At 44.7% G+C, this 23,767-nt stretch overlaps 1 protein-coding gene across 3 annotated transcripts in view, besides 2 other annotated features; it reads right to left on the minus strand.

The window, feature by feature from the left end:
• The window catches only part of SLIT3 (slit guidance ligand 3), a 639,400-nt gene that overhangs the window by 499,762 nt on the left and 115,871 nt on the right, over nt 1–23,767 (minus strand). The gene's annotated exons all lie outside the window — the stretch shown is intronic.
• Nucleotides 2,311–3,177: an enhancer, noted in NCBI's record as "OCT4-NANOG-H3K27ac-H3K4me1 hESC enhancer chr5:168590816-168591682 (GRCh37/hg19 assembly coordinates)". NCBI's record gives its function as "activates a minimal SCP1, AML or CMV promoter by ChIP-STARR-seq in primed H9 embryonic stem cells {active_cell/tissue: H9 hESC(primed)}" and the evidence as "EXISTENCE:reporter gene assay evidence [ECO:0000049][PMID:30033119]".
• Nucleotides 3,178–4,042: an enhancer, noted in NCBI's record as "OCT4-NANOG-H3K27ac-H3K4me1 hESC enhancer chr5:168591683-168592547 (GRCh37/hg19 assembly coordinates)". NCBI's record gives its function as "activates a minimal SCP1, AML or CMV promoter by ChIP-STARR-seq in primed H9 embryonic stem cells {active_cell/tissue: H9 hESC(primed)}" and the evidence as "EXISTENCE:reporter gene assay evidence [ECO:0000049][PMID:30033119]".

Here is a 23,767-nt window from a genome sequence, read left to right on the forward strand (position 1 = left end):
TGAAGGCCTCTTTAAAGCACCGTCCTCTTGAGCAATGATAAACCTCGGTGCCAGAGATGTTTAAAGAGAAACAGTCACTCCCGGCTGACCATACTGATATCAGAAGGGAGGCCAACCATGTGGTTTCAAAGCTGTGGTCATAAAACAGTCTTTTTTTTTTTTTTTTCATGTATGGTTAATCTGCCTATGAACTAGAAAAATAATCTCTGCCCTTTTGTAGGGCCCATTCTTAGTGTAACCTGGGAATGGGGAAGAGACAGGCCAGGTACTGTCCACTGTGGTAGCTGAGGGTGGGGCCTCAGGAGCCAGGCTGTCTGGATTATAGCCCAGCTCTGCACACTTACTAGCTGGGTGACCCTGGGCAAGTCATAGACCATCTCTGGGCTTCAGTATCCTTCTCTGTACAAGGAAGAAAACAGAGGGACTACTACCTAGCCTTGTTATGAGAATTAAGTTCATGTTTGTAAAGGGTGCCAACACGTGTTTAGCACATATAAAGTGCTGTATCTGTATTTGCTAAAGAAATACTATGTATATATGGGATATTCAGTTAATTTTCACAACAACTTGTTGATGTTATTATGCTTTCATTACAGAGGGTGCTACTGGATCCTTGAGAGTTCTAGAAACTTGCCCGTGGTTAGTAAGCCACAGAGATGGGATTCGAATTTGGGTTGTACTTCCCAGTATGACAGTCATCCTCAAAGTGGGGTCCAAGACCAGCTGGGATCTTGGTAGATGTGCAAATTATCCAGCCCCATGCAGAACCACTGGCTCAGAAACTGGTGGGTAGGTTCAGCGATTTGTTTTAACAAGTCCTCCAGGAGACTGGGATGCACAGAGTTTGAGATGTGCTGTGTATCGCCATGTTGCCCTTACAGCAGGAGAAGAAGTTCCTTTCCTTCCTGTCTCCAGGTTATCAGCACAAAGTGAACATGAGCTGCTCAGACCTCTCAAGCAACACACAGTCATGCAGGTCTTTGGAGTGAAAAGTGCTGTGCCAGATGCCATGGGGACACAAAGAAATGTGAGCTTCCTGCCCTGCAAAGCATATTCCCTAATTATCAAAACCAGACAAGCATGTGCGCAAAGTTATCCAACAGCACTGACCACACCATGAGTCAAAGCATCCGTGTTCAGAGGTTTGGGGTCAAACAGAGCTCACACCATTCCTGACCCCGATTGTTATGAGTGGGACTTTAATGAAGTCACTTAATCTCACTGGGCCTGGCTCCCCTTACCTTTTCAGGCTGCTGTAAGGATAAAATGAAGTTAGGGCAATGACCTTGTATGATGCCTGGCACATGGTAGGAGGCTTAGTTGCTAAATGGCCAGGGTCATCATTAAGATCTGTCAGCCAGGTGATACAGGATTCACTGCCAAATCATAATAGGAAGGTAAGGTAGGAGTAGGGAGATAGCTCTAAGGGAGAAAGACCTGCAGAGAATGGGGAACTTGAACCTGATTCCAACACAGAGTAAATATCTCAATAACAGACAGGAGGGAGAAGAAAATGGCTCTGATGATCATTAAAAAAGGGGCTGGGCACGGTGGCTCACGCTTGTAATCCCAGCACTTTGGGAGGTCGAGGTGGGTGGATCATGAGGTCAGGTGTTCGAGACCAGCCCGGCCAACATAGTGAAACCCCGCCTCTACTAAAAATACAAAAATTAGCTGGGCATGGTGGTGTGTGCCTGTAATCCCAGCTACTCAGGAGGCTGAGGCAGGAGAATCGCTTGAACCTGGGAGGCGGAGGTTGCAGTGAGCCAAGATTGTGCCATTGCATTCCAGCCCAGGCCACCGTGCGAGGAAAAAAAAGGAAATGAAAAGGTGTGCCAGGCTGATAGTCAAATTCATCTGATTTACATGACTTTCACTTTGAACGTGCAGACTCCAATGCATGAAGCCCAGGTTGAACTGGGAAATCCAAGTTGCACTTAAGATACATGAGTACCTTAATCCCGACACAGGCTTTCTGAGCCAGGCTCTGTTTAATCAATGGGTGTTTGGAATGAGGGCTGTGGACATCATAGCGGCTCCCTTTTCCCTAGTGTCTCTCTAGAGGAACAACCAAAATGCAACTTATATGTGTGAAAAAAATGACTGAAAAATGTTTAATTTCTGATTCTCCCTGATTTCTCCTTGAGGCTGGCAACCTCACCAAAGCGATTAGACAGATAGCATGAGCTATCAGCCCAGATAAAATCTGGATATTTTATCATTGCAGAGAGCATATCGGGAAATACTAAGGAAGTTCAGGAACTATCTAGTGTCATTCTACTGGACAACGGAAGGAAGGGTGACGTGACCACTCCTGCGCTCTTCCAATCTTACCACTTTCAGGCTAGTTTTTCTATAAAACTCACCAAGGCAAATTCCTCAAACTTTTGCCCCATTCGTTCCTTTGGGCCTGGGCAGAGGTGATGCTTGCGGGCCCCCAGTGAGAATGTCCATGGGGCAGAGGGCAGAGTGCAAAGGGGAGACCATGAAAGACAGGCAGTGGGCCCATCTCCCAGTGAGCTATGACAGACTCCAACCCCACACTCACCCCAGTGATTTATGTTCTGGAAGGATGTTCGCAAATCAACATGTTTTGTCTGCTCCTTTTCAAAGTCAGGGGAAAGCAACCCAAGACATCTAAACATAACCACACATTCGAAAGTCTGGTCAATTGTTTTAGAATTTCCATTGCAGGGCCTCTAAGTACCATCCTCGGACTCCCCATCAAGACCAGTAAATACAAGCCAATGGGAGGGAAAATGGGATCTTAAATATTTCCGGCTAATTCAATTCCCTCGGAGAAAGCTTTCCTTCCCAAGGTCCCATTCTAGCACAACGGGTTGGGAGTCTCAGGACCGCAGCCCCTTTTCCTGAAGAAGCAGCAGAGTCTGTGGTTCCATTTTACTCAACTGTTTTAAGTAGAAATTATCCTTGAGGCTTCAGGGTGTGCTTCCACTCTGGGTGGGATGGTGAAGGGAGTGATTTGTCTACCACATTACTCAGCCCCAAAGTATATATGCACTGGGGTAAACTTGGCCTTCTACATTTTCCCATTCTCTCCGGGCTGTTCTGTCATCTCTATGAGTCAGCCTCATCCTGGGCCTTCCCCGCCAGACCCTCCAGGCCCTGGCAGTTGTTTGGTTTGGGGCAATGACAGTGCCCTTTCCTGCTGGTATGTGGAGCTATTGTTCTCTAGGTCCATGGCTGCTTTTATCTCCAGCATTCCTACAAGCAGGATTAACAGATCTGGGCCTGTCTCAATGGGCTGCTTTCCACTTCAATTAAACTGCAAGCCAACAACACGCCCTGTTCCCAGGCTTCCCAGGCAAGGCTGCCCTGCTGGGGTGGCATGCCAAGGTTTCGGGACAAAGATGGGGGCAGGCTCACTGCGTGAGCCACAGAAGATACCCTGCCGTTGGATGCCTGGGCTTCAGGCCCAGCAAGCAGCTTATTGCTGTGCCAATCTGGGGAGCCAGACCTAGATTTCCTCATCTTTCAAACAGTAATGATAATGCATGACCTCCCGGACTCTAGGGAGGGATAAGGGAGCCAACATATATAGGCAAAACAACTAGCAGAGTGCCTGGCACATAGTAGGTGCTCAGGAAATGCTAGATCCCTTGCCTTTGCTAGGGGAGGGGGTAACTAAAGGCACCTGCCTTGCTACCCAACAGGGATGTTGGAAGAAACAAGTGATGCAATTTACACAAAAGTATGAGAAACCTCAGAAGGGCTGCATGCATAAGAGAATTTTTATAATCCAGGTGTGTGTGATGAGTCTTAACTTGTGCCTAGGCCAACCTAAAAGAGAGATCCTATTGTATGCAGTCTGCTAATAGAATCAGAAGAGGCTTCTGTATCCTTCCTTTCTGCGTATCTTGAAAATGCTTTCAGAAAGCCAGAAGTAGGGGGAGTGACAGCAACAACTTCACTGCCTAATCTGCTAAATATGAAGATAGCTAATATTTATTGAGCACATACTATGCATCTTGCACTATTCTAAGTGCGTTACATTTATTGTGATCACATTTCATCCATACAACCCTATTTTTTCACGGATTCATTCATTTGACAAATTCGTTCATTCAATATTTCCCCAAATATGCATATGGCTCCTTCCCTCACCTTCTTCAAGTCTTCTTCAAGTCCTTACTCAAGTGTCACCTTCTTATTAAAGCCTTCCTTGGCTACCTTATCTAAAATTCACTCCACCCTTCCACCCCCAAAGACAATTGCTTTGTGTAATTTTTCTCCTTAGCATGTATCACTGTCCAACATACCAGTTGCTTTATGTGTTTACCTTGTCTATCAAGTGCACCCCCACTAGAATGGGAGTCCCATTAGAATATGAGCCCTCTAAGGAGAGGCATTTTGCTCTTTCATTCCCAGCTATGTCCCCAGCACCTAGAATGAAATAGTTTCTGAGTGCCTAGCTCTGAATGAGTGCTTAGCAGATATTTGTTGATGGGATGAAACCTAAGAGGTAGGCACTATTCATATCATCATGCCTATCTTACACATAAAGAAACAGAAACAGGGAGGTTAAATAACTTGCCCAAGGTCACACAGTAAAGATCAAAGCCAGGATTTGACTCCAGAAACCAAGCACTACATTCTTTCACCTTTCCATCTAAGACTAACGCTACTAATTTTTTTCTCCTCCTCCTCTTCTGGGGTCACTGCCTTTGTTTTTTAGCCGTCTTTGCCATGGAGACCAAAGACTCCCCCCAAAGTTCTTGTTCATGCTGGGCTAGAGAATCGTTTGCTGACACATGTTCTTAATGAGAAAAGGGCTGCCTGGTGAATTATTCTCTCAACGTGTTCATGCTCAGATGCTTCATTTAGCAGCGGGCACATCAAGGCCCATGAGAGCCATATTACAGTTCGCAGGGCAGTGGAGATCATCTTGAGCAATGGGGGAGTGGGCTGAGGTGGCAGAAACAGCGAGAGTCCCAGAGTCACACACATCTCGGTCTGCATGCTAGTGAGACCTCATTATAATGCAGCTGTGGGATCTTGATCAAGTCACTTCACCTCTCCTGGCATCTGTTTGTGGTTAGGTAAATTCAGCACATAACAAAAGGGTGGGAGCTCGACAGGTGCTCCATGGTATTATTACCATGCCCTCTTCAACCCACCCAGTCCATCCCCAATATCACCTTCCTAATGCTACAGGCCTCATTGTTTCCAGTTTCTGGTTTACTTCAGTCATTGCCCAAAAAGCACAGGTGAGAGTAACTCCAGAATGGAAGAAATGAAAAGAATGATGCCTCCTATCTAGATAGGTTTGTGTATGATCCCATGTCACTTGGAGAATGTAGAATATTCTCCAAAGTGACTTTCCCATGTACCTCCCCTATCCCTTTGTTAATAACAATGACTGGCCATGCACGGCGGCTCACGCCTGTAATCCCACAGTGCTCGGGGAGGCTGAGGTGAGAGGATGCTTGAGGCCAGGAGTTTGAGAAAAGCCTGAGCAAACTAACGAGACCCCTCCATGTCTGAAAAACATTTTAAGATTAGCCAGACATGATAATGTACACCTATAGTCCTAGCTACTCTAGAGGCTGAGGTGGGAGGATTGCTTGAACCCAGGAGTTCAAGGCTGCAGTGAGCTATGGTTGTGCCACTGCACTCCAGCCTGGGCAACAGAGTGAGACCCTGTCTCTTAAAAACAAAAACAAAAACAAAACAAAACAAAAAAAACCGATGATATTGACCAATATGAACTGAATGACTTCTTGGTTCCAGGCCCTGTTCTAAGCACTTTTTTTTTTTTTTTTTTTTTTTTGAGATGGAGTCTCACTCTGTCACCCAGGCTGGAGTGCAGTGGTGCGATCTTGGCTCACTGCAAGCTCCGCCTCCCAAGTTTGCGCCATTCTCCTGCCTCAGCCTCCCGAGTAGCTGGGATTACAGGTGCCCACCACCACACCTGGCTAACTTTTTTTTGTTTTTTAGTAGAGACGGGGTTTCACCGTGTTAGCCAGGATGGTCTCGATCTCCTGACCTCGTGATCCGCTTACATCGGCCTCCCAAAGTGCTGGGATTACAGGCTTGAGCCACCGCGCCCGGCCTCTAAGCACTTTTAAGCAATAATTCACCTAATCCTCACAGCAATCCTGGGAGCGAAGTACTATGATCATGCCCATTTCACAGATGACAAAACTGAGACCCTGAGAGGCTAATCTGCACTGGTAAGGAGCAGAGGGTGGCAACCCAGGCAGGCTGGCTTCTGGTACCTGAACTTCTGCTTCCTCTACCCACTTCCTAGCACCCTCTGCCCCGCCCACCTGCCACCCAGCAACCCCTCACTGACACTCTGGCTGCACTACCTAGTCCCCAGTCTGTTGTCCCAGCAGGGTCTCTGGCCACTGGCCATATGCCAGCAATCAAGGAACTTCTCCATAATTTGCCCCAGTTTGCCCCCGTTTCCCCTTACTCCTCCTGAAGGAAGGTACACACATCTCTCTTGGAACTCTACCTGAGAATTTCCTAGCCTGTCCACTCTGGGGATCTGAACTTTCATGTTCTGTTGAGATTTCTGGCAACAAAGACTGGCACAAACATGAGAATTTCCTGTGGGAGCTCCTCCCCATCTCTTCAAGCATTTCTCCTACACCGTAGGTCAACAGAACCCAAATCCCTCACATCCTCCTGGGCCCTTCACTCTAAGCACGGGTCAGCCCCTTCCTACAGTCTAGCAGTAATGAAAACAGTTTCCAGAAAGTAGGCTATGCATCTTACAAAACTGTGATTTAGTATTATATCCAAAACCGCTCACTCAAATCATTCTTAATAAGGTGAAAAATAACTTTAAAAGATAATAAATATTCTACAATCTTGTCTTCTATTGTTCTACGACTGCAGAACACCAGCTCTCTGGGGCTGCTGCACAATCTGGCTTTAAGTTCTCCCCTGCCTTGAAGCCTTTCTGACAGGGGAAAATGCACTCCACTAGTCAGATGATAAAAATAGCAAATGTTTACTGAGACAGTGTTAATTAAATGCTGTGCACTGTGCTGGGAGCTCTACATGCAGCATCTCATTTAATCTTTACAACGGCTCTATGATTTAGGTGTCACTAAATCAAAAAGTAGTAGGAGTCACTACTTCAAAACCAAACCAAACCGAATCTCTGGGAAATTAAGCAGTTGGCCAAGGACCCAAAGTGACAAAGTCGAGATTCAGACCCAGATCTGTCTGGTTTTCATACTTTTAAACCACTCAGTTACACCTGATCCCCTTCAAGGCCTCAAACTGTCAGGGATGCTCTGATGGCTGATGGCTGAAGTCTGAGCTGCATGCATCCTTCAGGAGGAACAAGGGGAAATGGGGGCAAATTGGGGCAAATTATGGAGAAGTTCCTTGATTGCTGGCATTGGCCAGTGGCCAGAGACCCTGCTGGGACAACAGACTGGGGACCACTCAGCTCTATGCTCCTCTCCCTCCACCAAAGCACTAGGGAGCCTGCTTAAGAGGCATTCACTTAGGATTCATCCCAAGCCCTGTGATCCCAGAGCAGGGTCAGCCCAGAGTGGGGGGGGGATCACCTTTTTCTAACTCGCACAGAGGTGTTGTAAGCAACAGCAGCATCCTAGTTGCCTCCAATCTCTAGGTGCCGGCTCCTAACCTGCTAGATGAAGAGCATGAGTTCCATGGGAGTGACAGCACCTAGGGAATGTGCTCCGTTCCCTGTCCTGGGTCCACGGCATCCAGGCCTAATATATCCCCAGATGCCTTTTCTGAGCTTTTCTGACCTCAGAGTCATGTTCAATATATTACCCTGAGCACCATTTATCTAATCCGAGTGGGCATCCAGGACATAATCTCTTTGCCATGCCTCAACTAGAAGCTCTCAAAGGCTGCTTCCAGAGTAATATATCATTACATGGCTTGTCTACATATGAAGTGTATGAAAACACACATTTTTTTCTGAAATAAATAATGGAATCAGGTTTCAATAACATAACTCAGGAAAATAAATTAGCTGGTTTCTCCCAGCCTTTCCATGCAAAAAGGTCTGAGGCCAGGGGCCCTTGAGATGTCAAACTGGGGAGAATGGTAGAAGTTTTCATGGTTCCGAAAATTAGAGAGGGGATCCCTGGCAAGGAAAGTCTCCTTACCACAAATTGGTCCCTATCAGAGAATTGCTGCTCAGTTCAGATGGTAATTAGCACACCCCAAATTACTTGCCAGCAACAGTATAACTAAGACTTGGAGACAAGAGAAGACTAAACTTGAGAGAGAAGCTGCATCACCACAGAAACACGACCTGACTGAGGAGATGAAATGAGGTAACTGCTTCAATTCAAAACACATCTACCCATTGCTCCAAACCCTCTATTTGCAAAGCCCCACCAGGCAGAGAAACTTCAAGTCCTGATCTTGACTGTGTGATGCCAGAGGCTGCAGGGACTGGCCACAGAGCGCAAGTCCAGCCCTCCCCTGGGGTGGAAGCCTGTGATGTGGGCAGGCAGTTCAGGAATGCCCTTCCTCGCAGAGGGAATAGTCCCTTCAGGCAAAAGGCTTCCTGGAGGGAAGCCAAGGAGGGAACCTCCAGACCCTTCCTGACTGCACTCGGATGAGGGATGTGGCCTTGCTGGATGGGAGGTAACAAATGTGCTATGAAGATCAACTGATCACACTGACACCCACATTTGAACACCTCATGCCGCCTCCACACCCACTGGCTTTCAGATCCTGGGAAGAGCATCTGAGGACCACAATGTTGCTAGGCACCCTATTCTTTGGGATGAAGACCATGATGTTGGTCCCATCTACTTCTCAGGGGTGAAAAGACTGCGGAAATATCAAACAGAAGTCCGGAAGAGTCATAACTTCCAAAGGCAACCAAGGAAGAGAGAGCCCTGCTAGGGGCCTGCTCTTCCTCCTGAGGAGCGAGGAAGAGTCCTAAGAGCCAGCCTGCCTCAGCAGCCAATTGTTGGTCCTGGGCTTGCAGGCTTCAGTCACCTCTTCTGTGAAGCACTGTTGGGGAATGAAGACGGTTTTGTCCCCCAAGCTTAAAAGACTGCCCATGCGGGACAGTGAGACTGATGGGAATGGAAGCAAGCTGGAGACAACACGCCCCTCTAAACGGGCTCTGCAGGCTGCTACCTTAGAGGACACCAAACCCTGTGTTGCTGCTGCCACCAGAGCGCCCAATTTGGGGACAGGAACAAACAATCTGAATTTTTATATAAAATCTCTCCAGTTTTAAATATAGTCAGCTCATTTTTAAAAAATGGTATGGGCCAAACATTCCTATTGGCAGGAATCAACCTGTGGGACTGCCATTTTGTAATCTCTTTCATTGAAAGGACAGTTTCAAAAAAGGGAGAACAAGGGTGGTTTTTCCAAATCCTTGACTTTGACCAATCAGGTGGCCCAATTAAAAAAACAAGTAAATTAACAATCTATTCTGTGCAAAGTCTACCTGGCAGACATCATGGTTACCAACCATGTAGTTGGGGAAGAAAAGGCAGAAACAGAGGGAACATCTTGGTTAATAACACCAAAATGAGAAGCAGTCCATTAAAACAATGCCAAAGACATCATAAAAGGTGTGACTGATGTGGTTCTGCTGACCATGCTGAGGAATTCAGGGCACAGATGAATAGAGAGACTTCAGTGAGGAGAGATGGCTGCAGCATTTTCACTGATTGAGGAGGATTTGAATCTTGAGGGTTAGATAACATAGCTAGTGTTTACTGAACACCAAGCATTGTACTCAACACTTTGTAAGGATTATTTCACGTGATGTTTGCAATGACTTTCCAGTTTAGAACCCTCACTCTTAAGAACCATATGGCACTGTCTCTAGACTTGGATGATCCTTGGAAAAAAAGGCAAGGTATCCCAGGCAGGGAGAATGGTCTTGAGCAAAAGTGTAGAGCAGCAATGGGCAAAATAAATGTGTGTGGGGAGGTGGAGGGAAAAAGTACAAGTGTCTGTTGCAAGTTTCCTTTGTGCTTGTGTGTTTTTCACAAATATCCAACAGCAAGATTCCAGAGGTTGTAGCAGCCCCAAGGATTGTATAGCACTCCCTAGATTGAAAGCCTCAGGAAAGAGGTTTCAGCCAAAGATGTGGTCTCCCAACTGGAGGTACACAGATTAGACCTCAGTCCTGAGAAACAGGATGGCAGAGCAAACAAGGTCCCTGCCCTGAGGCTGGAATGCAGCCCACCCTGTGAATACATGAATATTCATTGCTTTGGAGAAGTTGCTGAACATTTGCAGACATCTACCTCGGAGGACTCAGCTGGGAAAAATTCACTCTATCCCTAGAGGAAAATGGGGTGGGGTGGAGAATGGGGATGTTGGATTCAGAAAGAGATTTGAGTTCCAACAACCCACCCAGAATGCCTAAGGGGCCTACGGCTATTCTCTGCCCCCTTGGGGCTAGAGGAATCTGCCAGAAATAGAGTTGAGAAAGTGTGAAGGGTGGTGTACAAAGAGTGAAGGAAAGAGGTCCAGCAAGTTTAGACAGTGTAGGCATGGAGGGGAAATGCCACCTTTCTTCTAGCAAATCAGAGGAAGCTTTGGGAAGGAGGTAGGGGGATAAGAAAGCCTCGGAAATGTTTTTCAACTTTAGTGGATAAAAGGTCCTGGAGAGGAAAATGGGTGCTACAAAAGGACTAATAATAACAATAAGGTTCTCAAAGGCCATGTTGAGATTGAAATGAAATGGGACCACAGAATTGCCAACCTGCATTGACAAATCTTTGGTTCATTTTGATCACCACTGGGTTCCCAGGAGAAATACCAGATTGTCCTCAGATACTTATTTCAGGGTCCTTTTATGTCAGTTTAACCTATGAATTAACCTAATATTAAGAAGTTGTAACTTCCCATTTTCTTAACACCAGTCCTATAAAGCTCAAGTCCCACCAAATGCATCCAAAACACAGTCTATAGTCAAAAGGTGTTTGGGAACTAGCTGCGTATATACTTTCACATCTTGGAAATTCACGGTGCATATTAACATGGTAAATACCCTGAGAAGTCCTGCAATCAAGAAGCCTTCCATACATCCTTTAGCACAACACTTTCTGAATTTATTTGACCAGGATCCTTTTGTTGCTGAACACCCATTAAAATGAATGCATTTGGGAAACGCACATCTAGACATTTGGGAAGCTGATGTTCACATCCTCCGCCTCAAATACCTCTGAGGTAATGAATTCCATAAAATTGACATCTGCTCTTACAGCACAACTTCCCATTCATGCATTTTTTCCATTAAAAAATATTTTAGCGCTGTACTAAACCCTGCTAATAAAAAATAAAAATACAATTCCCCGCTCACAAGTAGCTCATAGCATGGTGGGGAAGGCAGTTAAAGCACCAGTCTCGGAGTTGGAGTATGGCTGATGCTCAATAATAGTTTGCTGGGGAAGCTAGAGCTAGAAGAAGTCTTTCTAATAAATAAGACCAGCATAGTCAGGGAGGGCTTCCTAGAGGTGGAGAGATGAGCAATGAATTTTAAAGAACGAGATTCAGCCTGTAATCCCAGCACTTTGAAAGGCGCAGAGGGGTGGATACCTTGAGGTCGGGAGTTCGAGACCAGGCTGACTAACATGATGAAACCCCGTCTCTACTAAAAATACAAAATTAGCTGGGTGTGGTGGCACATGCCTATAATCCCAGCTACTTGGGAGGTTGAGGCAGGATAATCGCTTGAACCCGGGAGGCGAGGGTTGCAGTGAGCCAAGATCGCGTCTTTGCACTCCAGCATGGGCAACAAGAGTGAAACGCCATCTCAAAAACAAAAAAGAATGAGATTCAGTTGGATAGCAGAAAGTGAGAGGATGGTTCCAGGTATGAGTTAGAAGGCATAAAGATGCAGAGAAGAGAAAACATGGTAACTGAACCGCAAAAGGCTAGGACTGAAAGGAGTACGTAAGGAGTGAAAGCGGGAGGAGAAGGAAGAGGTGAAATCTAGAATTCCATCGAGTCCCTCCATTGTCCTATAGTTCTGCCAAGCTTCAAGGATGCTGTCTCCTAGATCTGAAAACAAGGGCACACCCTTCCTGAGTGTGCATTCCTTCCTCACATTATTTTCCCAGTCTTAGGAATGCAAATGTTCTAATCTGGGCAGTTACCACAGCAGTCTTGACGTCTCCTCCACTGTATTAAATGCTCCTCTGTAGCTCCCTTAGGTCGTTCTTGAGAATAGCTGCAGATGTATTTTCCCTATTTTCAGAGGACAAGGGAATTAAATTGCATGGCACTCTAGGCCTGACTTTGGGCTTGAAGAAGCCTGGTACTCTGGATAGAAGGCTGACTGTCATCTTTTGCATACATCCTGCTCAGCGCTCCTGCTGGCTGAAGTGTGTTTGCTCCAGTCTCTGTATGCCTAGAATCCATCTCCCTTTCTTTAGTCACCAAAGGTGGACATGTGATGCACACTCAGCTCATCCAAGACCCCAGGCCCCATCCACAGTGATGGGTCTAGGGAAAGGCATGTGGCTCAAGCCAGGCCCAACAGAAGTCCTTCCCTGAGGGTTTTCTGGTACAAACGGTACAGAAGACCCTTCTCTGGTTACAAACCAGTAAGGATATGGTGCCAATCTGCCAGGGCTCCATCACAAGGGCACACCTGAAAGAAGCTGCAAGATGCAGAGGTGAGATGTGGATGAAGACAAGACCTAGTGGGCTCTGAGCCTGGGGTCTTTCGGGCCATCCTACCTCAAGGCTCTGCACTGCCAATGTTGTTGCTTGTTGGTTCATTTTCCCTTATCCTGCATTTCTTTAATTTCTGTCAATGATAATCCTGAGAGTCCTAAAAAAACCAGTTCCTCTAGGGTGGAAGTAGTCAGACCCCCATGAGACCACACACAGCCCCTGCGATAATTCCTAGAGTTTCTTTCCAGCAGCTGGGGTGACATTAGAAAGGTAGAGGAAGTGAAGAGAGCATCTCTCCTTCTCAGAGTGAAGACAGAGCATCTGATATGTATGATCAGCTTCCAAGTTGGAAAGACTCTTGTTCTGGTTTTGTCTTCATCTCTTAACTCTTAGATCACAAGTTCTTTAAACTCTTTCCCTTGACGTCAAATGGGATACCACTAATACCCTCCCTCACAGGGTTGGGAAGATAAATTGAGGATGCTGGAGAAAGAACCTGCCCAGCACATAGTACAGTACAAAACACTGCTAATTTTCTTTCATTTTAAGTTCTACTGAAGGCCAACTCATCTAAGAGTATGTCACAATCTATGAAAAATCCAGGAGAGGAGATATCTGAGCCAAGAGCTTTCCCAGTGTGATCAAAAGAAAAAAAAAAGTGACAGCCTGTCCTCACCTGTCCCACCTGCATATTTCCAGATCTCTCTCCGCTCTTTATCCCATGGAGCTGAAGCTCAACAAAGACGAATGATTAAAAAAAAAATCTTCCTCTAAAATGCAACTCCCTTTGACATGCATATGATGAAAATACCCTTTGCTCTTTTCACAACTGTTTGGGCTGTTCTTGGCTCCTGACTGTGTGTTCCATAAATGTATGTTCATTTTAGATGGCAAATACTTCAAAGGCAGAAGGTGGGTCTGTGGATCCCACTTCCTGCAGAGCTCTGAGGAATACCATAGACAATGAACAATGACGGCAATGATGGAAAGCTTGGGTCTGTGTCTTAGTCATGGGAAGAAGGAACAAAATGAAGAAGGGCCAGATGAGCCCTTAATATGAGTCAGAGAATAGACTGATACTTACAATACACCATTATCCTTGACTGTCTCCACAACTCTGGCTGTTGCTATATCCATTTACACAGTGAATACTGAGGCTTAGAAAAACAAAATTATGGACCTATGTGGTGGAGGTGGGATATGGTAGTGTGGCTTCAAATCTGCGGTTTCCCCTCTTCCCACTCCTAGTACACAGAAAGGTTAATGGGTTAGGCAATTTGGGTTATCAGCGCCACCATCTAAATTTTAGCTTGAGCAAATTATTTATCATCTCTGAGCCCCATTTCCTCCATAATAAAATGAAATGGTAATACCCATTTCCCAGGATAATTATGAAGATTAAAGGAGATTCTGAAGATTATGGCATTTAGAGCCCCTGGTGCTTTGTAAGCGTTCAACAAATAATAGTTGCTGCTTCGTGGTTGTGTTATTGACTATTATTTCCACTATATCTTCTCGTCTTCCTATGTTCACAGCCTAATGACTATTTTGCAAGAGGTACTTTTGGTCTCTGTTTTCACCCTGAGATGTCTGTGGCTTCCACAGACAAGCTGGTAATATCTGCAGGCCTTTCCTACACACCACCTTTCTTTCCTTCGCCTGTTTCTGAAGCTCAGGGCAACAGAATCTGGCCCCAGGCTACCCCAAAGCCTAGAGAGCTGCTCCTGCAGGGTGAGAGCCATGACTATGTCTCCATGTTGGCTGCAGCAGGGCTGGTGACTTCCACGTCCCCCATAAGGAAGCCATATGGACCTTGCTCTCTCTCCAGCAGTCAGCACCGCTCAGGCAACAAAGTCCATGAAGTAAGCTCTTTATCACCCAGGGTTTCTTCTCTTTGGCTTTTCTGTTGTTGTTTGATAAACATTTGTAATGTTTCTCAACAGCTAAAGTACTTCTGGGCCTGCTCCACCACCAAGCCCACAGTGAGTGCAGATTGAAGGAAACCAAGTCCTCCACTCCTCTTCTTGCTTTCTGTGCCTCTGCCTTGACTGCTCACATGTCTCCTCTCAGCAGCTCTTTTGCAGAGAGAGGGAAGGCCTGGATAAGTCTCCCCAAGAAAGCCAATGCCTTCTTCCTTCTTTTTCTCAGGAAACAGTGAGGTTTACCTGAAAGAAGGTAGAATTTAAAGCCTGACGGGCAAGGTATGAATGCCAGGTCTGCGATTTCTTCGCTGAATGAGCTTGCCTAAAACACCTTTCAGAGTCTCGATTTTCTCTTCCGTCAAATGGGTTTCTAATACTTACTAGCCACCAGATTGTGGAGAGAAGATGCAATGAATAGAGGCAGAAGCAATACAGAGTAAGTGATAACCATCCTAGATCCTTCGAATTTCCTTACTATGGCATTGAATTGTTTGAAAGAAGTTAAGAGGAGTGACCTAAATTAATCCCTCCATTTCCATATAAAATATTTGACATTTTTTCTTCTGGTAGAATAAGGATCAGAGATCAGTAACATTTTTCTGTAAAGGGCCAGTATAGTCTCAGCCACAACTATGTAACGTTGCCCTGTAGCACCAAAGGGGCCATATAGCATATGTAAATGAATAGGTGTGGCAGTGTTCCAATAAAACTTTATTTACAATAGCAGGTGGCAGTGGGCTGGACTGGCTCACAGGCTGTAGTCTGCCCAGGCTTGGGTTTGGAGCTGGTGAAGAACATGCCCCTGGTGAAGAAAACTAGAGGGCCAACCTCCCTCTTTCTGCCAGCACCCTCTTAGAAATCCACCTCGAGGGCTCCAGAGGCAGAGCCCATGAAAGCCACTGAAATCCCCCCTCTGCCTTTGAGAACTGGAGGTTTAGATTTATAGGCATGACAATTTGTTTCACATAATTCTGTCAGTAATTACATCGACTTCCACCAGCAGCCATTAGGTAAATGATTTGGCCCTTTCCCCTGAGTAATATTTTCCCCCACTGAAATAAATGGAGGGTGCATTTCTCTCCCATAAGTTAAGCATATTATTTGCCTCATCACACAAGGCAAATGCAGTAGCTCTGAGCTATTAGTCTATCACTGCAGCAATCAGACGGCCAGGAGCCAGAAGTAATTTACAACAGGGAAGTAAACAGGGCCCCAGATAAATAAATAAGAGGCCTGGGCTGATCTGGGGCCTGAAAAGATTAAGTCATGAGAGTATCTAACGAGAGATTTAGTGCTAAGTGAACTAGGACCAAAGCAGCATCCCATGGAGGAATCAAATTATATCACTGGAAAGAGATATTATTGAAGTCCCTCATGCTGAGCGGGGAAATCAGCACTTCTTGGGAGGGGAGGGCTACCATCATTAGCATAGCAATTTGGGACTCCTCACTGGAGTCTGGCTAAGTAGCTGCAGGTAAATGAGTTATATATAGTAGGTAAGCAGGGTGCAGTGACCCTGCCCACCAGGAAAGCCTGGTCAGGTCCTCAGTGGCTGTGGGATTCTAAGTACCAGGCTGGGGTCTTTTCTTAAATACAAAGGCTCCTTATAAAGGAGAAGTAACTATCTGGGATGGAAAAGAAAATGATGCCGATTCAAAGCTGACTTTAGCTTTTTAACTTCTGAAATGCCTAGAGGGTGGAGACTGGACTCCTAATGGATTGTCTTCCCTAGAACTGCTGTGAGCTCTGGGAAGCAGTCACTGTCACCCCCACCTCAAGGAGACTTCCTTTCTCTTCCCTTCCTTTGGATGGCACTGCCACTCTCCCAACAGCAGGATGGAATCCTTAGGGAGTCATCTTCCAATTTTTCCTTCTGATTGCCTCTTCTGTTGGTTCTTTCCTTGGAATCACTCTCACGTGAGGTTTGTCCTTTCAGCTCCTTTCCTTGAGAAAAAAAGTACATCATGACAGCAACCACGTGGAGGCAGTCCTAGTGCTTTGGTAGAACCACTCACAATTTTTCTACAGGTGAGAATTGCTAATCCTTAGTTTCTGCAGCAAATCTATCACCAGTATCATCAACATCCTTTTCTTAAAAAAGTAACTGCTATCCCAGCTGGCCCAAACCAGGGAAGCATCAATCCTTTACTTCTTGTAAGCTAAGATTCTGTCTTCTGTGATTCCCCTGTCGCTTAATGAAAAATCACGGCTAAGGTAAGCAGGTACCTTTGGGCTGTGCCCACAGCAACAAACCAGAAATCTGAGTGCTGAGGTTTGTGAGTCCCCTACTGCTCCCTGCCTCAGTTTCTCCAATTGTAAAATGAGGGCATTGATATAGAAATTCCAGAAGGTGCCATTCAGCTCTGGCATTCTATGAAGGTGGCTCCTTACACACTGAACGGTTGCTGTAGAGACAAGAGCTTACACAGAGCTTGGCACAGAATGGAGAGTCACACGTGCGATCAGAGATTCTTCCAGCTGCTTTGGGAGGAGCCAGAAAAAGACTAAAACAAACCTGAGATATACCGCACCCCACCACACACACACGATTCTTATTTTCTTTCTTTCCTTTCTATTACCAGATCTCTATCTTTAGCACCCCTATTCCCTGTTTAATTTTATTGTTGCTGTTATCCTTTCTTCCTTCCTCCCCTTCTTCCATTCTTCAGGTTGTCTTCCTTTCTTTCCATTCTATAATCCTTCCCCCACCCAATTCATTTAATGAATATATCCTCACTCACAAGACACCTCTTCTATTTCTTTGTGACATGGATTAAAGATAGTGATGAAGTCAGGTTGTTCCTAACAGCAGCCTCTCTCATTGACTTTATTGCTCTTGAGCAAATAAAGAGAGTCTCAAGAGCTCACATTCTTCGGTGCAATGTGGGTGACGGGCCCATGATTGAATGATGGTAGGTTTGCAGAAAGGAGAAGTGACAGGTAGGGGTGCGGGGGCAGGATGTAGGAGAAGAACAAACAGTAGGTTGGTGGTACAGCTTTATACAACACCAAGCCAGAGTCTCAGAGTTAGTTTGGAAAACATTAATATTTTGTTGCACCAGTGTGGTTCTGGTTCAATTATTTTAGAAGATATGGTTCATTTCAGGTCTGGACTAATTCACCAGAGGTCTTTCAAACAACCTCTGGTTTAGATCTCAGATCAAGAAAAAAAAATAATTTGGAAGTTTAGGTCAATGTTCAATAAATTAGTGAAACCTATTCCTTTTTCTTTTTTTTTTTTTTTTTTTCCAGACCAAGGCTTGGTTTTTGTTTGAGTCTCCACAGGTTATTTTTGTAAAGCCTTCACTAAGGTGAGGCCTCCAATAGCTAGACAATCCCTTTCAATGTCTATTAGAAGTTAAAAAATCAATGAGGCCTAGAGATGAAGCCAACACAGCTTATCTTTCCATTTCACTGTATCACAGAATATTATTCCCAGATCTTTGAAACTGCATCAAAAACAACATTCCCCTCCCCAGCTCTCAGTCTCAAGCACTGGCTCACATCTGCTTGAAGAGATTCTAGCATAGGCTGTTTCTTTCTCTTTGGTGGGAGACCCACTGTTGGAGTATGAAATCCTCCTGCCACCGAGTTAGTTTTATTCTCATTTGTGTGTGCTTGTGTGAGTGTGCATGAGCATATGTGTGTGTGTGTGTCTGTGCACACATGCTGTTAACTAGTCATTCGGGGCTTTTGCAGGGCAATGAGGAGAGAGCTCTGGTTTGGAACAAAAGGCACCTTTGACCATATAGTGAGAGGGAATAGCAGATTTTGGAGAGACCAGGTTCCTTCTCTCATTTGCTCATTTCCAGAGTGTGTAGCTAGTACCCACCATGTGCTAGATGCAGTGGTAGGTAACTGACTGTAGAGTCAACAAAACAGATAAAATCCCTGCATTCAAGAAGCTTACAATCTATGGGGGGATGAAAGAGCAAAATACAAACAAGTAAACAAATAAATGAGCAAAAAGAATTTCAGGTAGTGATAAGTGCTATGAAGAAAATAGAGCAGGATCATCTTGTAGACAGTGACCAATGAGGAAGGGGACCATGACTGCAGACAGGGTTGTCATGAGAGAGTTCTCTGAGGAAGTGATGGCTGAGCCAGGACTTGAATTTCAGGAAGGATCTGGCCACACTGACATTTGAGGTCAGCATATCCCAGGCAGAAGGAACAGCAAAGCCAAGAAGAGAATTGTTGGAGCAACAGGAAGAAGGCTCATGATGCTTCAGTGCAGTGGATGTGGGGAGAGTGGCATGAGATGGCACTAGGACAAGTACCAGGGGTCAGATGATGTAGTGCAGGAGCTTAGGATGTCTTCTCAGGACTATGTAAAGTCATTGGAACTTTTAACTGGGGAAAAGAGGAGATCTGATTTCCCTTAAAACAATAATTGCGGCTGTTAGATTGACAATGAACAACACAGGAATAGGAGACACAGCAGGAAGATTACTGAGGTCCTTGAAATCCAGCCAGAAGGACTGCTGGTCCACGGTGATGGCAACAGAGACAAAAGGTGGTGAACATATTGGTAATGCATGGTGAAGACAGAGATGGCAAATTCTACCCAATATGCACATCACTCACATCAACAGCTCTCTACTCAGGGAGGAACTGGAGAACAGAATATTCCCTGAGCAACTCTGTCTTTCCCTGCTGCTTCTTTTTCTAGCCCCATTAGACCTAATGATCTCCCACCTTTCACTCTCATTTAAATAAAGGAAGTGTCACACATAAGGGAAAAGGATCTGCAGAGAATACCATTAGCAATGGAACCCCTAACAATTATTTCCTAAGATAATGTTGTTTGATGGCTACGCCCTTGAGAACTGGTGGTTGGCAATGGTCTGTTCTGAGTTCTAACATGAAATGAAAGTCCCTGAAGGTCTCAGTTGGAAGCCTGACCCATGCACATCTCTTCCAGGGAAAAGAGAGCTCTCCCTGGAGGCCAGAAAACATTTACAGTAATAATTTACTGTCTCTGACACAGATCTGCCACTATCATCTCTATGGACCAAAAACACCAATTATGAGCCAAGAAGTCAAAGAGCTTCCCCCAACCATCACTGCAGCTGCCTTTCTAATCCCTAATATCTCACCATAGCATTGCCCAATAATTTGAGCTAATTTAATAGTCAATGTCTTGCACTAAAGTGAAATTATATCTGTGAGTTAATTCAGCAGCCCAAAAAGGATCTTCATTTATCTGTCTGGGATTCTCCTATAGAGAGGTTTTGTGTGTGTGTGCGTGGTACGTTAGGTGTATGTGCCTGTGCTTTTAACAAAAAGGAGTCAGAGTGGGAGACAGATATAGGAAGAAGACTATTAGAGCAATATCAGTAAAACTGATGATTTTTCATTTCTCTCTAGATTGCTACCACTGGTTTTCATCTTTAAAAAATTATTAAAGTTGGCCGGGTGCAGTGGCTCACACCTGTAATCCCAACACTTTGGGAGGCTGAGGTGGGCGGATCACGAGGTCAAGAGATCGAGACCATCCTGGCCAACATGGTGAAACCCTGTCTCTACTAAAAATACAAAAAATTAGCTGGGTGTGGTGGCGCGTACCTGTAGTCCCAGCTACTCAGGAGGCTGAGGCAGGACAATCGCATGAACCTGGGAGGTGGAGGTTGCAGTGAGCCAAGATCGTGCCACTGCCACTCCAGCCTGGCGACAGAGCGAGACTTCATCTCAAAAAAAAAAAAAAATTATTGAAGTTAGATTTATCTGAGTATCTTGATCCACAATACAGTTTCACAAATCCCAAATTGAATGAGACTGAGATAGAAGAGATTAGTCATAGGTTATCCTTGTACTCTCTTGAAAATCCAGTTTTCTTCTTTAGACAGAGCATTTTGACCTCCAAAAGTCAAGATGTTCCCTTTATCTGGAGAAACGTTGGCATGATTCAACATATATTTCAATCAAAAGCTGACTCGTTGACTAAAAATTCAAGTCCAGAGCCCCAGACACGCCAACAAGAGGCCAAACCATCAGTTCAACAGCAGGATATTCCACTTGGCCAACCGTGGGGAGAGTTTTTGGCTACGCAACAGGCAGTGCTAATCAAGGGGCGGGCGGGCCACACTTCTAAGCAGGCTTCATCACCATAAGTAGGGTGAGGAGAATTAGAAAAGGAACGATGGGAAAAAAGAAACATCATGAATAAAACATCAGAATATTATTCTAAACCATGAATCAAAAACTCAGGTCCAGCTCACCAAATTTAGGCAAGGAGCATGAAATTGACTTAAACGTCTCCATTTCTATTTGGTTTGGACAGTGCTGTGTTATCATAGCTTTGCTGTTGTTAATATTGTATCAACACTTTCATTACAGACCTCAACCTCCTGGACTTTGTAAATGAACTGCAAACCTTACAAATGGAATTTAATGTTCAAATCCAAGATACTGAGTCCATAGGAAAGCCAGAAGAAAGACAAAGTTACAGATGTTTTTGGTGATTTGAAATTATGCTAGAATTTGGGGCATCAAATTAAAATACTATTTGTCCCCTGGAGGGATTCCCAAATGTTGGTTGAAAATGAGAGATAATTAGGCTCTTTAGAAATGTTTCTGTTGATGCTGAATGTGGTTCAGGAACAAATATTTCAAGATTATTGATGTGGGTACATTTGCATCTTTCAGACAACTGAAGAATGTGTGTTTGGGTTCTGCTCACCTCAAAAGGTTGTTATTTTTCTATATACAATGCAGTATTTCCCTAATATTTAATTCCATGGATAGTTTCTAACTCCAGATAAAGAGAATGAAGAATGGTATGGGTGAAGGCTGGCTTCTGGTTCTCGTTCTTAACAAAGAGATGACTATTTGAGTACCCTTGGTGATGCCACAAAACCCTGCCTAGGCTGGCCAACCCCACCACAGGTCACAGGGTGCTGAGAGCAGCACTGATTTTGTGCAGAAAGGGCTCAGCTGTCACAGTTTCAACTCCACAGGTGGGTCCCAGCCAAGGAAGTCTGAGAAAGAGCGAGGTGGCAAGAAGCCCACACTTATACCCTCCGGGCTCAGGTTAGACATTTCTGGGTTCTATACTCAGCATCCCAACCACCAGCACATTGGAGTGACACACACAGTAGGCGTTCAACAATACTTTAGTTGTCCCTGGACACATACTTCTCTTCCTAGAAAGGGGGCAGGAATGTTAACAACAGGGAATTGACTGAGTCCCAAGTATAAGCTGGGTGTTTGTTTTATTTTTCCATTTTCCTCACTCACTACTTTCATACGTAGTAAAGAGAGTACACTGATGTATGAAGGCTTTCAGCTGTATGTGCGAGGAGGTGAGCTTGTCTTGCCATCAGCTGTTCAATGTACCACCATGGCCAAGATTTAGGAGGTTTTTCTGAAGCCCTTACACATACAACCCTTTCTCCCTACATGCCTCCTTTCTTGCAGTGAGGGATTCAGTTGGTCCCACATTTCACCATTATCTCTAATGGTCCAGTGCTGTTCAACAAAGGTTGGTCTGATTTCCTTAAAGGATGGCTTTTCTCACTCTGGTCCATGACATGACTCTAGGATGACACAAACATCTTCAGAAAACCATCTTGGAAGGCCCACCAAGTAAACCAGCAAAAGCCCTTACCTTCAAACCAAAGAAAATACTAAATCCATGAAATCACTTAAGCCACCCTTCCAAAGAGAAGGAGATTCAAAATGTTTTATGCAGCAACCTATAAGAAACTCATTTTGTGGGATGTTTCACATTCCAGACCATGGTTTATTCCCCCATATATCCCTTCCAGTAATATCAACCAGATGTGGCAAAGAAGTCTGTGCAGAATTGTAAAAATTACAAGCATATTCTGTAATTCCAAAGCATTGTAAAGTCACAGCTTGGTTTTCTTTCCTTCTTAAAAAAAATTTAAAAACAATTTCCAAGCTGGCAGAATGTACTTCTCAGTACAAGTATTGCCCGATCACTTTAGAAAACTCTTCTGCTGGCCCACAGGGCTGAAGAGACTAAAATGTAAAACCCAACTCTACCTTTGATAAATTGTAGGGAATTTAGAAAGGTCTACTTGCTAGCATGTATTTAGGTCTATAAATCTTTTTCTTTCAATGTTTCAAGTATTAATATCCTAGATCTCAGATAAGAGCACGTGCTTATATATACTCATATGCGCTTATAAGTTCAAAATACTGAACCATGAAAGCTTCATAAATTTATGATTGTTATCCCTCTCCCATTCAAGATGTGTTTCTGCATAGAAAGCACATCATAAGGTAGGGAAAAAACTCACAGGAGTAAGAGGGTGAGAAAGTCAGAGAGACCTGGGTTCATTTCTGGTGAGTGAGTGAAACTCAAGCCCAGTTTCCTCATCAGTGTAGCAAGCATAAAAACACCTTTCATGCAGGATTCTTGGGAGGACTGAAGGAGTTGGCATCAACATAAGGTACCTAGCACACATTAGGTGCTCAAAAGATGTTTGGTTCCTTCCTTCAAAATATATAAAATAACAGGGGCTATATGAGATCGATGTTTCTTAAAGTATGCCCCTAAGTGACACACAACAAAATCACCTAGGGTGCCTATTTACAAAGTCAAATCCCCCGGTCCATTCCAAATCTAATGAACCAGACTTCCCGGCTGTGTGGCCTGGGATGCAGCATTTTAACCATCCTTTCAAGATATTTGTTTCTATATGCTAAGTTTGAAAACCAACCATAGCCTAGGTCCTTGCTCTGCTGTGGTGCTAGGCCAGCACAATCACTTCGGAATATGTTAGACATGCAGATTCTTAGGTCGTGTTCCAGACTTACACAATCAGAATCCACATTTTAACAAGATCCTTAGGTGTTCAGATACATACTAAAGTTTGAGAAGCACTGGTCTAGATTGCTATTCCTAGCTCAAAAATTCTGTAATGCAAGAATCTACAAGGCAATTTAAATGTTGGCTTTGTTATCAACTCTGTGGCAAGTCCGCAGGCTTCTATGCTCAGCTGGACACATCCTATCGGAGGAGAGAGACGACACCTCCCAGGCCTTCATCCCTGGCTCTGGCTTCAGGTACTACAGAGAGAATGACACAGCAACCACCATAATCCATTCTCTGTCCACACACAGATTAAAGCAAAACCTGTCTTCAAAAGCATCACAAACTCTGGAATTGATGACATGTGCCATAAAGCAAACACAAGGCTGGCCTCACTGCAGTGTTCAGCGTTTGGGGGAACAAGGAGAAAAATCAGGAA

Source organism: Homo sapiens, chromosome 5, assembly GCF_000001405.40.
Source record: "Homo sapiens chromosome 5, GRCh38.p14 Primary Assembly".
NCBI lineage: Eukaryota > Metazoa > Chordata > Mammalia > Primates > Hominidae > Homo > Homo sapiens.